Source organism: Homo sapiens, chromosome 7 (genome assembly GCF_000001405.40).
Source record: "Homo sapiens chromosome 7, GRCh38.p14 Primary Assembly".
NCBI lineage: Eukaryota > Metazoa > Chordata > Mammalia > Primates > Hominidae > Homo > Homo sapiens.
In genome coordinates this window covers 93559467-93575076 of record NC_000007.14, presented here as the reverse complement: position 1 = coordinate 93575076, position 15610 = coordinate 93559467, and the positions used below count along the sequence as shown (strand labels likewise).

Here is a 15610-nt window from a genome sequence, read left to right as displayed (position 1 = left end):
TCTAACTCGGGTCCCTCGCCTGCTTCCTGTGTTTACGCGGCGCTTTAGTCTCCCGGACTCGCAGGGTGAGCCCCAGCCCTGACTGGAGCGAGACAGCAGCCGCGAGCGCAGCCCCACTCGCGGGCCGGGGCGACTGGGGCTGGCGCGAGGCGCACGGAGCTCACCAGCTCGCCCCTCCCTCTCCTGGGACAGGAGGGGGCTGACTGGGGTGGCGGGGTCCGGGAAGGGGGGCTGGCTCTCATCAATTCTGCTGCCACCTCCTCTGCCGCCTGTCGGGAGGCGGGCGGGGGTGGGGCGGGAGCGCAGGCTAGGATTGAGACTCTTAAGTCAGGAGAAGTTTGCGCACAGCTTCACAGCTGGGAGAGCGCAGGAAGGCGCCGGGAAGGTGAGCCTCCTGGACTCTGGGGAGGTAGAAAGCAAGCCAGGGGAAAGAACAGTTGTCTTTTAGCTGATAATACAACCTAGACTTGGGTCTGAACCACCTAAGACAGATTTAAAGTGTCAGAAAACCAGGAGAGGGGCGGAGAGGGAGGACTGAGACTAACGCAGTTTGCTCTCGCATCAAACTAGGAAAGCCAGCCCACCAGCGTCTGGGTGGGCTGCGCCGCGCGGCTGGCGGACCTTCCCGGGTTGGAGAAGTGCGCACGTCCGCACCTCACCCTGCGGCTGACATCTCCTGCCCAGGAGATGGGCGCTGAAGCTTGAGCGCCTGAGTCCCTGGAGCCACACCTGCGAACACCCTTTGCTTCTATTGAGCTGTGCCCAGCCGCCCAGTGACAGAATTCCAGGTAAGGAGCGTTTGGAAATGAGCGGGACTTAACGATTTGGGGTGTCCAAGGGATGTTTAACAGTGCAGGTGCTATAGGCACCTTGCTTTTTGATTATAGAAATGTGGTTTGATTGCGGTGCTTGTGGTTCTCATGTAGGGTCAGCTAGGTCTTAGATGCTTTACTTTACCCTTGTCAAAGAAAAAAGAAAAATAGGTGTCCTGGGAAGAGCCAACAACTTATGGTTTCGTATTGAAGAATCGTTTGATTTCTTGTGACTTTTACTATGTTGTTCATATCAATTTTCCCTCAAAAGTTTTATTCTCCAACTTATTGGGTAGGAAAATTACGGAGGTTAAAGTTGTGAATTTTCCCAAAGGGTGTTTATTAACTGACAAACATATAATATCAGCATCTATAAGATGTGTCATGGTTGTTCTGGATATTGGAAATGAGCACAGTAGTGAATGGAGTTGCTTGTTAAGTCATGTTTTACAGAGAATAGTTTTCCAACAATCATTTATGCATAGCAGCCATTCTTCACACCTATTAGGAAAAATATGTTGTGTGCATAGTTTCCAAAAGAGTACTCTTTTTCATGATGCTCTTCCCAAGCCTGGGTGAAAGACATCAAGAAAAGCTGTAACAAATTAATTCCTTTTCTCAAAACATTCATTTTCCTTGAGGTCCAAGTCAAAAATCAACAATACAATTGAGATTAGTAAACTATCATACAGACTTTATTTGGCAAATCTACCTAAGAAAAGTTTCATATGAAAGCTTTAACCTAATACTATGTGACATATGCAAGAAGAGAACGCAGGGTTTCACTTGCCGATCTTAAGGAGACCCTGACTATTTCCAGGCTGTGGTTAACCGGAATCAAGTTATCTATGTAAGGCTATTTGTTGAAATTATTCGGTGATTGAAGGTGAAATGTTCAAAATAAGTCAAAGTTTTACAATGTAGTTCTTAAAGCTAATCTTTAAATTACAGAGCGTCCGAGTTTAAGTCTGTCTTAAATGATCATAGAAAGCAAATATTTTATGTATTTGGGCCAGTTGACTTACCATTAAGGACAAAGTAGGAATGCTTTTAGTATTATGGAATTTATAAAGTGTAATTTCTAATAGGATATTGCTAGCCTATGAGTTCAGTAGTAAAATAACTCAGCTTTAAAAAGTTGAGATTGCTGGTTATACACCAGTATTATGAGAGAAACTAAGATGATTAGATTTGTAAAACCTTTACAGTTTAAGTTGGTATTCTCAGTGGATACTCATTTCTACTCAATATTTTAACATAACTCAAAACATCCATCAGCCAGGATTTGTTCTGGTTCAATGCCTCTAACCTGTAGTTTATTTTATGAACTATAGCCCAAGAATAATATCTGGTCATATTATAAAATGTTCTAAGTTTATTCATTGGCTACATCAACACAATAAGTAAACAAGAAATCTTCATTATAACCAGTTTATAAGAACACATAGATAATCTTGGAGTTGTTTTGTTTCATGATTCTCAAAGTTAAAAAGAAATAGCTGATATAAATACGTCTTCTGTTTCTCATTTTGAAACTGGAGGTAATGATTGATGGTGGATGGAGAGCATTTGCTCTAATCAGTTGAAGAAAGGGAGCTAACTATTAGTTTAGTTGTGCCATGGCAATTCTGTTCTTGATGAACCTCTCAGACTCTGTCAATGTTAACATGAATGGAAATATTATCTACTGTTGGTTTTTATTAGAGTCCTAGTGAAATGGAAATAGGAGACCGGTAATGGTTTCAATGATAATCTAAATCAGTATTCTCAACTCGGGCTGCAAATTAGGGTTAATAGGAGAACTTTCAAAAAATACGGATGCTCAGCCTTACCCCAATTCAATCAAATCAGAATATCTGTGGAAAGGGTCTGCAATTTGATGTATTTCTTTAGGTGATTGTAATATGCAACCAGGATTGAGAGCCACTGACCAAGAGGGTTTCCACCAGACTTGGTAGAACTCATTGATGTGGGAGGCTTTTGATAAAAATAAATGTTGTTTGTTATATCGCTGGTCAAATAGTTTTTTCTTTAAAAAAAAGAAACATATATGTATAAACATACATATATATGTATAACTTGATCTTACAATTAGAAGAAAAATATTTTAATATTTGATGTTAGATATTTAGACCGTAACAGCTTCTCGGAAAAACATTTTTTATCCAGAAAACAAGCTATTGAGTTTGAAATTGATCTGCCCATCCAGAAAATGTTTTAGTAAATGAACTCCAGCTTTAAGAGATGTTGAAAATAATACTTGATGAAACATACAATTTCATCTCCTTTTGCTTAAGACCTGTATACTGTGTAAAGTACAAATACGTACCCTTTTGAAAGAGGAGAAAGAGGAAAATAGCATCATTCCCCTTGGCACACTAACTACCATATACCCGGTGCCAATGATAATCTAGTACTTTTACAAAAAATATGTTTTAAGCTAAGAGTAGCCTTGTGAGTTACAAGCTATTATCATTATTTTATGTATGAGGAAATTGAGGACCCATTAGATTAATGAACTCGCTCAAAGCCACGAACCAAGTAAATTAAAAATATATTTGAACCCAGGTCTTTTTAAGTTCAATGATGGATTACATTATATATTTATTTACATATTTGTATTTTTTACAACTTAACAGCAGCATTTATTTAGAGATAATATAAGTTAAGAGTACAAATTCTGGCACAGCTCTGCTTGAGTTTGACTTCTGATTCCATAACTTTCTATCTGTGTGATTTGGGCACATAATGTAACTTCTCGGTGCCTTAATTTTCTTTGTAGAATAAGAATTAAATGAGTTAATATTTGTAAAGCATTTGGGTAGGTGTCTGGTACATGGTAAGTTCTATGTGTTATATTTTTTTAAATGTCATTCATTCAAAAAAATTTTTATTGTTATATGCCAAGCATTGCACTAAGCCTGAAGATACATAGACAAATAAGTCATATCCCTATCCTCAAGGATGTCGTGTCTAGTAGAGAATGACAAGAACATAAGTAATCATCCCAATCAGGTATAGATCTTTTACTTAATTAAAAGCATCATTTCTTGACAACTGTGTGCTTTTCCATGTGAATGTGATCTTCCAGAGCTTCATATAATGAGTGTTATAAAACCAAGTGATAAGATTTTGTGTTTTCATAATGATACTAACTTGTTTTCAATTCTAGTATCAAAACACAGAAAATCATATTAACATATGTTTCTGGCTTCCCTTATACATTTAGAAAACCAGCAATATAGAGAGGTTTGAGATCTTTAAAATTTTATATTAAAAGTGAATCATGAAGATAGAACATTGGAGAATAATCAGTAGAAAAAATGTTATCAGTATCTGTTCCTCAATACTTCTAACAGTAATTTTCTTGAATTGGCTTTTCAAAAACAGTTTTGTCTGATTAGAATGTAGTTTTGGTTTTGTTTTTAAGAAAAAAAATGTTTCAGGGAAGAAAGAGTGGATCACAGGATACAGAAAAATGTCCCTAATACAAGTTGGCAAGGCAACATATACCTCATTGAAGCTGGCAGCACTTCCTAGTCTATGCCTGCAGCTCTGCACAGCTGCCTGGTACCTCCAGGGTACCAGTGGATACCTGAGGTATAAGATTCTGTCTTTGTTAAAAATTAAAGTCCCTGTTTATTTTTTAAAAATAGCATATAAATTGGTATTCTTTGTACCAGAATAACACAGATAATCTAAACTCAAGGAGTTATTTCTCAAAGAAGTAAAGTACCTGGTTCAGTGAAATATTTAACTATTCCATTTCACTAAAATTTATGTTTAACTATTTCAGTAAAATTTATGTCTTTCCTCTCTCTTATCAAGTCTCAGACTACCTCCAGTTTTTCCCATGGATGCTACATTTTTCTTCCTCTAAGTATCGCTGCCACACCTCTAGTTTAAGTTTTTATTATCATTAATAAAATATTTATTCTCCTAATATTCAGTCACATTAAGTTTCTATGTGCTAACTTCAGTGTTATAGAACATGGTTAGACTTGTTTTCTAATCTTTAATTTCTCCCCCTCTGTTCATAATTATTCAGTAATGGTCCAAGGACTGCAAGACTTAGAACCCCTCTTCAGCCTGGTATTTAAGATGTTTCATGGTATAATCCTAGTTTAGCTTTCCTATCCAAGTCAGGTAGAAAACCTCAACAGCTCCTTAATTTTAGTTCTGAAGCTGTAGTTACACCAGAAAAATTGACTCCTGATTTGGAGTCCATTCTTCACTTTTAACCCTGTGCCCTTGCATGTCAACCTCAGTCTATATTCTTCTGCCTCAAAATTGAAGTGTGTGTGTGTGTGTGTGTGTGTGTGTGTGTGTCCCTTTACATCAATGGTTCCATTGTAGAGCTGCTTTTCTTTGGTTTTCATGTCTCGCTGCAACCCTAGTCTCACTCCCTGCCCTTTATTTGTCCGGTGGTTCAGAATTCAACATTTCAAATCTTACCTTCCTTCATCCTTAAAATGTATTAATCATTCTCCCATAACACATCTAACAAATTTCCATCCTATAGCTTTGCTCATATTTTAAAACTGAATAAATATGTACTAAGTGCCTATTATGTCCTAGTCAGGGGATATTGTGACAGATTACAGATCCTGATTTCATGGGGAATGGAAAAGACAGACAAACCAACAAACATTATACAGCCCTGTGGTATGTATTCCAATAGAGAAATGCCATGAGGGTGCCTAGCCGGACAACCAGCCCGGACATCAGGGAAATTTTCTAGGGAGGTTACCCTAAAGGGCATATGATTCAGCATTGAAATGACAGAACAGAATGAGCTAGATAAAGAGGGGAAGAAATGAAGTGTTACAGGCAGGACACCAGATTGTGGCTTGAAACAACATGGTGACTTGGGGAAACCACAGGTATTTTTGTTGCCCCAGCAGGGTTAAAGGACACAGATTATACACAAAGAAGCTTGCATGCCTACCATACTAAAGGGTTTGCATTTTATCAGGAAGATAGTGGGGGGTCCTTGAAGGAGTTAATATAGGTTACTGAAATAATCAGATTTGCCATTTTGGTAGATCTCTCTGGTGGAAAATAAGAGGCATATTAGATTGAAAAAAAGGATGGATACAGATTAACTGGACACACGCAGCCTTACTGCAGTGACAGAGGGAAGAATCAATTAGGGCCTCCTTGTTGGAGACAGAAAAGAAAAAAAAACGAAATTATTTTAAAGGTAGATTTTGTAGGATTTGGTGAACGATAGAAATTAGAGGTGAGATGAAAGAGAAAAATTGTATGATGAATTCCAGGCCTCTTTCATGGATAATAAGAGAGATGTGATGTCATTCACCAAGTCGGGACAAGGAGTATTTTGGACAGGCAAGATAAATAGTTGAATTTGGAGGAAAAAAAAATAATGTCTTTGGCTCATCCATGTGATGATGTTAAGTAGAAGTGCATATAGAAATTAGTGCCTCAAGAGAGAATTTGGTACTAGAAATATAAATTTAAGAGACATAGTGAATCTATTTCAGCTGACAGCATAGGAATAAAGCATATTATCTCTGGAGAAGTAAAAACAGGGAATAAAGAAAGAAAACATAGAGGAAAAAATTAAAGGTAGAAAATTAAAAGAAAAGTAAAACATCTTAGAATCCTGGAAAGCACCAATATTTAAAGGGAAATGGAAAACAATCCTGCAAAAAAAAGACAGAGATGAAAGACTACAGGAGAGAGACAGAGAGAGAGAGAGAGAGAGAGAGAGAGAGAGAGAGAGAGAGAGAGAAAGTAATTTTATGGAAACCAGGGAGGAGAAAGCGAGCACTCATGCGGGATGTTACCAGTAGATCAAGTGGGATAAGGATTGAGAGCTCGCAATTGCATTTAATTGAGAGCAATTTTAGTCGTGAGTTGGGTGTGGGTTGAGAAATAAATGTGAAATGAGGAAATGGAGACACTGATTGTACACAATAATTTCAATCAGTTTGAGACGCCTGCCTTACTTTATTTTCCCTTTTTGAAAGGTGCAGTCTCCTAAAGCTTAACTTACATGCTGCTTCCTTCTTTTTAGCCTTTCCTGGACAGCGTTTAATCCCCCCAACAAAGATGTCATATCACATCATGATTGATATCCCTTGTTTTAGAGTTTCCAGAGGTCCCATGCATGTGAGCTGTGTGCGTTTGCATGTGTATGAATATATAGGTATATATTAAATACCCATGTAGTATGTAAAGTATTTTTCTCTGTTGCCATGCATTCATTGAAATAATTTTCTTAATCTCTTTATTATGATAGTGTATGGGGAGAAAAATGAGTTTATAAGCCCCTGCCCTCAATAATAATGATCTGGAAATTCTAGGATTTCTGCATATACCAAATATTTTCCAGACTGTTTGTGTACTTAAAAGTTGCATAGAGCAGGATGAGTTCATGTCCTTTGCAGGGACATGGATGAAGCTGGAAACCATCATTCTCAGCAAACTATCACAAGGACAGTGGCATGTTCTCACTCATAGGTGGGAATTGAACAATGAGAACACTTGGACACAGGGCAGGGAACATCACACACTGGGGCCTGTTGGGGGGCAGGGGGCTGGGGGAGGGATAGCATCAGAAGAAATACCTAATGTAAATGACGAGTTGATGAGTGCAGCAAACCAACATGGCACATGTATACCTATGTAACAAACCTGCACGTTGTGCACGTGTACCCTAGAACTTAAAGTATAATTAAAAAAAAAACTTTTTATAAAAAAAATTTGCATAGATAAATTTTTCAGGCCAAATATAGCAATTTTTGAATCACAAATTATAACATTTTATACTTGTTTTATGGTGGTTTAATCTCCCTTTTGTATTATTTTCTTATTTCTCTATCAGATTACAAAAGACAGGGTCATCATTATTTCTTTGTCCCAGCACATCCAGGAGACCCTCTCTTCTCTTAGAGAAATTAGTTAAGACTTCCCTAAATGTGTCCATAAATAAAGTGTTTTTTATTTCTCCTGCACACTGAGGCTTAAAGTTTTCTTGTTTTAAGTTATCAACTAGCTGTTTCCCCAGAGCTTTCAGCTATTCATCTGTAGTACTTCCTCCAAACCAATAATTCATTCATATTCTTAACATCCATTCTTCTATTTTGGGTTTGAGTTGGTTTTCTTTAGTGAGCATTTAAAACATAGCACACATATTCAGAACATAGCATTCAGTTTAATCATGCAGAACTGTTTCCCAACAGCCCTCTGCCCTCTTAATCACAAAGTCATACCTCTATTTCTCCTCTGCTTCTTGCACTAGGCTGGAGCTACTTAGGTGGTATTTATACCTCTTATAGGCAAGAAAAACAAAACTAAACTAAACATTTTTCCTTCTCATTTTCCTAATGTGGATCCAAGCCCTGAAAGCAATTAATCCTAAATTGTTTGAATAGCTGATTTTCCGCAAGTTAATATTAATACCTCCTAGATTTCCCAGGTATAACTAAAAATAGAAAACAAAAACAAAAACAAAAAACAGCTACTATTCATTGAGCCCTTACTGTGTGCAGGATACAATGATACTCAGTGACTTCCTGAGACAATCATATGGTATATTATCAAGCCCATTCTACAGGTAAGGAAATAGGGCAGAAAACTTACAGGGACCCAGCAAGGTTCATACATCTCTGAGTGGCAGAGCTGGAACTCAAACCTAAGTTCGCCTAAAACCAAAAGACTATGCTCTCTCTGCTGCTGTACTCAAATGGAATTTTGAAGGCGACTTAGACGTTTCTTTATTTTAATATAATTGGTATATTAATTGTCTTAGATGATCAGAGCCTGTAAGTAACAGAATTAGGAGCCTCTCTCAATGGATATTTCAGCCGATCTCTTATAGGCTTTAAACTCAGCTCTCCAACTCAATCAGGCCACCGGAACTGTGACTATACCTATAACCAAATTCCAGCCTTTTGGTATAACCTGGAATAGTTCAGGATCACACTTCATATTAAGTTTACATTCCAGATAGCTAAGTATACAAACATAACATTACTGCACAGAAAAAAAAAGTGAAATGTGATATAGTTCTTCTAGGATTTCATAGGTTTTTATTGTCTGTCCCAAATCTGTCTATTAAGTAGGCAGACATCAAGTAAATTTAATTGCAAATGGATTTTAGTTTGGTGTCAGCTCTTAATAAATATGAAAATTATATTTATTGTATTATAGGAAAAAAATCTCTTTAATAATAATAATTTTTAAAGAAAAGCTTTGCTTTTTGAGATTTCCTCTCTAGTGAGGTGTTCATAAAGTCAATGCAGGCAACAAGGGAAAAAGAAAGGAAAATTGTACTGCTGCCAAATTTAAATTTTAAATTGACTTGACTCATCCATTAATTAACCCAACTTCCAGCATAATTATTTGTTTCTAACCTTAAGTCTGACAGATAGAATTCTTTCAAGTATGAGGATGTATCATAGAAAACATTGGTGTTTATGGACATTGGAATGGAATTTCTTTCGCCCAAGATTCACAGAAGTTCATGGCACAGGGTACATAATAATGCAAATTGCTTTAGCACCTTCTTCACTGGGCCTTCTACAGGACTGAAAGGTCAGGGTATTAGACCACTTTTTCATTACTAACATCACATAGACTGCAAAGGTGGCACTAAGGCAAAATCCCAGCAAAGTGGTGAATGATCCTTGCTCGAGGGCCAATTTAGAAAAAAATAAAAATTTACTGGGTGGCTTCTTTTCCTATTCAAAATGAAAACAATTGTATTGCATCCCATGAGGAAAATATATATTCTTCAAATTAGATGTGTTATTTTAGTGAATACAAGGTCAATGAGAAACTTAGCATTTCTTCTCAGCTACTAAAATATTAATATCTGGGCATATTTGAAGAGTAGCAATGTGGAGTCCACAAATATCAAAACTGGAAGTTATGGTCTGCATTTTAATTTGTTAAAGAGGCATCTCTAGCATTTGAAGTAATGCTATATATCTTCTTGATAACTAATATTTTACCCTTAGTATTATTCAGGAGCCCAGTGCATTCATTAAAGAGGAGACCATAGCAGAGATGACATATTTTCCAACCAGGAGGTAATAGTTCTGCCATGAAAACTCCAGCCTTCTGACTCCACATCTAGTGCTCTCCCTAAAGGAACTGCAAAGTTGCAGGGAGCCATTAGCAAATGCAGAAAAATATGTGCATTAATGTACTTATAGATGACCTCAAAGACAGTTAAACACATGAATAAGAGTGGCTCTGCATTACATTGTATAAGAGGCAGAACTTGTCTCTCATGTCCCCTCCCCTTCTGCTAGTTTGTCCCGCACCTACCATTCATATAGTATTCTCATTTATTCTAGAAGCCAGCCTTCCTAAGGAAAAGCCTCACTGTTTGAGTCTTTCCACAATATCTCTCTAAACTCCCTTTGTCCCTACTTCAAAATTAATTACTTTTATTTTGCCCTATTCCTACAACGCCTGCTTTCTGCAAAGTATGACAGTGAAGTAAACACGGGCTACCTTCAGGAAAAAAAAAAAAATTGGCTGGGTGTGGTGGCCCACTCCTGTAATCCCAGTATTTTGGGAGGCTGAGGCAGGTGGATCACCTGAGGTCAGGAATTCAAGGCCAGCCTGGCCAACATAGCGAAACCCCGTCTCTACTAAAAATACAAAAAATTAGCTGAGGGTAGTGGTGTGCGCCTGTAATCCCAGCTACTTGGGAGGCTGAGGCAGGAGAATCGCTTGAACCCGGGAGGCAGAGGTTGCAGTGAGCCGAGATAGTGCCATTGCACTCCATCCTGGGCAACAAGAGCAAAACTCCATTTTTTTTTTTTTAAAAGTGTAGTATCAATGTTAATGATGTGTTCTTTGATCAAATGTGTTTGAGTCTTTATTCCCAACCTTGAAGAAGCTTTATACTAAACTTAAGCATGTTAAAAGCTTAATATCCACTGCCTCTAAGGTAGCCAGACCAGTGTCATCTATCACTTGGACCACTCCAACAACCTTCCATCTGACCTGCCCACCAGCACTCTGTCCCCCCCCACACATTCACCACTTGGTTCCCAAAGTGCTCTCTTTCTGGTAGATTCTCGGAAATTAAATGATAGTGTTGGCACTGATTGGAATATAATCTAAACAGAGACAAGTGTGAAACTTTGATCAAACCCAGATTCCCAGAAATGTGTAATTTCTACTTTCTAAAAAAAAAGTAGGTTGTGAAAACTTTCAAGAAAACTGGGATATGAAATAGACATTGAAATATTTCAATAATAACAATAATGGTAATAATAGCTAACACATAGTACTTACTATGAGCCAGTAATTTTCTATGCCTTTTATCGATTTTAAGGTATTTAAATTTCGCAGCCACCCTCTAAGGTAGGTACTATTTCACACTCTTACTCATAAGGAAACTGAAGAACAGAGAGGTAAGTATCCTACTGAAGAACACACAGCTAATATGATGGATTCGGAAATGAACCAAGGAGGTCTAGCTCCAGTATGTAAGTAAATCAGAAAAGGGAAGTGTGCTCGTTATAAATGCATGACAGCCAAAGCTCTGTCGTTAGGATATAAAATGTCTTTCAGTTTTGCATTTTGTGTGCCTTTGAGCAGCAGATCCATGGGTAGAAAGTAAAGAGAATTAAATAGCGATTTTTCTTATTTATTCTAAATATTAACCTCTACAGCTGTCATGGGATGTACTCAGGCTTATAGTATTCCACTCTGCATTGTGATTTACACAAAAGGGAAATTGTGCTTTGCCAGGTTGACATCTCATTCATAAAAATTAGAGTCAAATGCAAAAACCTAATCTGCTTTACTCTTTTAAAGGTGTGATTTCTACTAACAAAATGCAAAATACAACTCTTAGCAAAACATGGCTCTAAATAGAATTTCAAAACCATACATTGATTACTTACATGAAAATTAGTCAGAAACCCATGGTATGTATGGTTTTAATGATGTGGAGAGAAAAAGAGTGGTCTAAAAATGGCAAGTAAAAAATACATTGAATTTTAATTAGGCTAAAAATAGTCAAGTTTCCTATTCACTCACTTGGAAATGATAAACTTTCCAAGATCTATTTTGGAGCATGGCAACTCTTTTCCATGTGTTCTAAATGGTCTCATTTCCCTATATGATGACTACCTTGGCACTCTGTGTACTTGTGCAACGGGAGGGATTTGTTCTGATACTGAAAGGAAACTTTGTGTGTACTTCCATGTTCAGGCTACACAGCCTTTTGCAAGTGACTTTTATTTACTATTTCTGATATTTTTAAATTTATTTACCATATTTGAGGTTATTTTCTTTTCTAATGTAATTTTAGCTCTTTTATTTACCGTTTTTAAATTTTTCATACGTTCTATATTTGAACATGCTTTAGTCCAAAGCTTTTTCCCTTTCATTGCTCCAGCTCATTTTAAAAATAATAAAAGAAAGAATATTGATCTCAAACCTTAACTGCTTACATTAGATTATCCAATTTCCCCATGAATTAGAAAATTGTTAGGATATTCTTTATTGAAGAGCCAAGATTATAGTAATGCAGGCTGATTTTATCTATTTGTTTTACTCCATCACTGTCCAGAATCTTCCAGCTGGCCAGATTTTGCCCCACATTAAATAAAAGAAAGGGTTGGGTTCCAGATATAATCACAATGATGACTAGTGGGCAACAGGTGTGGGAGATAAATGCACCATGGGTGATTCCTTGAGTTGTCCAGGACACCTGAAAATATAAGCTTATGCAGGAAAGAAAGCAAGTATGTCTGGTCTTACCATCATACTCATCTTACTCATATCCAAGCTGGAGGTGTTTTATTAATTATAATGTCTTCATTGTTTTTTGTTGTTGTTGTTGTTGTTGTTGTTGTTCCTTTTTATAATACTTGTTAAGTAGAGCTCCTGAATAGATATTGCTCAGTCTTTAAGTGAAAATCACGCATATGTTTTGCTTTTAACACTATTATCAGGCTTGTTGATACATGCCAAGCTATGTACAAACATGCATTACCTCATTTAGGCTCCACAGCAACTCTGAAAACTAGGTACTTTATCTCTCCAATTTACAGATACGAAGACTGAAAATCAAAGAAGCTAAATAAATTAATAATCATAAGAAATAAGAATAAAAATAATTACTATTATTACTAATAATAGTGTTAAGTTAAATTTAAAACTAACATTTATTGAAGGCTTAATATAAAGATTCTTGGATGAATCATTCCATTTAATTCTCATAATAATCATATTATTATGAGACTTACATGATTTATTGTTATACCCATTTTAACTCCAGGAAATGATGAGGCTTAGAGACATAGAGATCGTATAACCAGAAGCAGAGGCAGGATTTAAACCTAAAATACCTAACTACAGAGCTCACGGTCTGAATCACCGTCCTGTACTCCTACTGAAGGCAGAGCACACATTTTTACCCAGGGCCTGTTTGCTGAACAGCCTGTGATTTTTCAGGGTCTCACACAGCTTTTAATCTAAAACAGTGTTTCTCAAATCTGGTCTAATGATCCATGCTGATCCACGACAGGGTTTCAGGGTTTCACTGTCTGGCAGCAAAATAAAAAGATAGAAGATAATTTTAAGAGTTTTTCTTACCATTAAGTATGTTCAATTTAAAGAATCACACTTTGTTCTGGGATTATATCCTTTCCCTTCTGGATCAAAAATATCCCTCCTTTTTATCTAATGATGGTGATAGTTGATGATAGTATTTTTTTAAACTCTTTTAATTAACAATTATAAATTTCTTAACCCTATGTCCCCTGCCTCACACTGGAAAAGGAATTGTATTTATTTATCTGGAAAATTTTAAAATCTGGGCTCTTTTGAAAAAGCAAAAATGCTATTAGGGAATGAAGGGTGGTACCCAAAGCAACTTCTGTAAGAGTGTCCAAGATTAAGCCTTATGCTAGGCAGTAGCATTTTATGGTTTTTAAAGAATTTTCAAGGATGCAGGCTACACTTGAAAAAAAATGATGTTATTAGTGTGTGAATATATTTTTATAGAATAGCACTGTTCAGATACAAAACACTTAAACTTTGACTGAGTCATGTGCATGCAACCTACTAAGTGCTTACACATTCAGCATCTCATTTGATCTGCACCCAACACTCCGTGACACAGTGCTACTGTAACAGAAAGGAAATACAACAGGATATACTTCTTATTTGTATTATTCAGCCTCTCTTAGCCTCAGTTTCCTTTTAGGAAGGAATTGTTTCTATCTTAAAGGATTATTTCGTGGATTGTAAATAATGTAGGAAAAAATTTGGTCATGGCACAAGGCATATAGCAGTCAATAACTGCTATCTATTGTTGTAATGATTATGATCCTCATTTTACAATTGAGAAAACTACAACTCAGATTAAAGCATGAGTTAAAGTAGTTCATCGGGTTAAGTGATGAAGTTGGAGCTTGAGACAAATTCTATCTGCATCCCCCAAGCTTCTTTTGGTTATCCCTCACCCACAATTCTATATGCATCCCAAACTTTATCTTCACTATCCCACACCACAATTTTAGTAATGGTTAGAAGCTGAGAAATGCCACTGATTTAAATGTGCCTCCACCATTCTGTAGATATGTGTCTTTGTCCACATGGTCACAGCAAATAAACTTTTCAGTAGAAAAATCAAATAAAATTTAAAATGATTCATTGTACATATCAAGCCAATAAAAGTTGTATTAGAACAAATAGTATAAATTAAAATTGTAAAGATTTTCAGATGATCTGAAAAGTAGGATCCTACAGTGCATAAAGGAGGCCGTGGCTGAAGGTCACCAGTTTAAGGGGAAGGTAAAATTTGAAGGTATCTGTAAAAGATACCTCATTGTATAATAGGTGCATACCAGCAGATATATTTTTCAAAATTATAGATACCAATAGTCAGTGTGCTTATTTATGTTTATTTTGTTTTTGGTTTAAATTACCTAGAGAGTGACGTCATCTCTCTAGGGTAGAGCATTGTTTTAATTGTCAATGGAATATTAGAAAAAGTGGGTGTGTCACTGATTCCTTAGTAAAAAGCTTTATTTTCATCATAATTCTAAAGAATAAAGAGTTTCTGTCTTTTTAAAGAGAAAGCAGAAGTATGACATAGTTCAGTCCTCAAAGGGAGAAAATGAGGAAGGAAAAACAGTTTCTTTTCCTTTCTTTCAGAGGGCTTTGTTTTTCTCTTACTGTAACATACTCATTAGGGTCCCATCTCTTGTTTTGAGCTCATCAGAGAGTTGGATTTTAAATAGCTGTTTCTAATATATTCAGAGACAAGTAAATACTGAATATACACTGTGTTGTGAGAATGAGTATCACAAACTTAAAAGATTTAACAGTTATTAAGTTTCATATCTTCCTGTGATTTAGGGTGGAAATTTGCAGCAGAGAGATTATTACATGTTATGTAAGCCACCAGACAGAAAGGACAACAAAGTCCCAATCTCCAAAGGGAAGTTGAGTTATAAGAGACAGGAATACCAGTGAGAAGTATGAGAGAGTGGGTGGGAGATAATGTTTAGAATCTCTTTTGCTGCCCGCAATTTATGAAAATGGCTTGAAAATATTTATGGTCAAAGACCGAAATATTTCTTCAAAGAAGATTAGCTTTGCTCCATTAAAAGTAATGAGTAGAAATATTAAAAAAAAAAAAAGTTTTAAGTACCTGAGTATCTTGCCAGCAACTGACCACCACTGCTAAAAGTGAGGAGAGACACAGCTTTCATCATTGGGACTGCAGTTTATTTCAGGTAATGGAAATATTTTGGATGAAATAATAGATTGACTAATGACACAAATAAATC

At 36.5% G+C, this 15610-nt stretch overlaps 1 protein-coding gene across 3 annotated transcripts in view; it reads left to right on the top strand.

The window, feature by feature from the left end:
- CALCR (calcitonin receptor) overlaps positions 353-15610 on the top strand; it is a 150239-nt gene continuing 134981 nt past the window's right edge. For 2 of the 3 annotated variants that reach the window (NM_001742.4, NM_001164737.3), the window contains exons 1-2: positions 353-385; positions 571-788. The gene's annotated coding sequence lies outside the window, so the exon portion shown is untranslated. Of the gene's footprint in view, positions 386-570; positions 789-15266; positions 15557-15610 lie in introns of those variants that run through there. The other variant, NM_001164738.2, reaches the window with a different exon arrangement.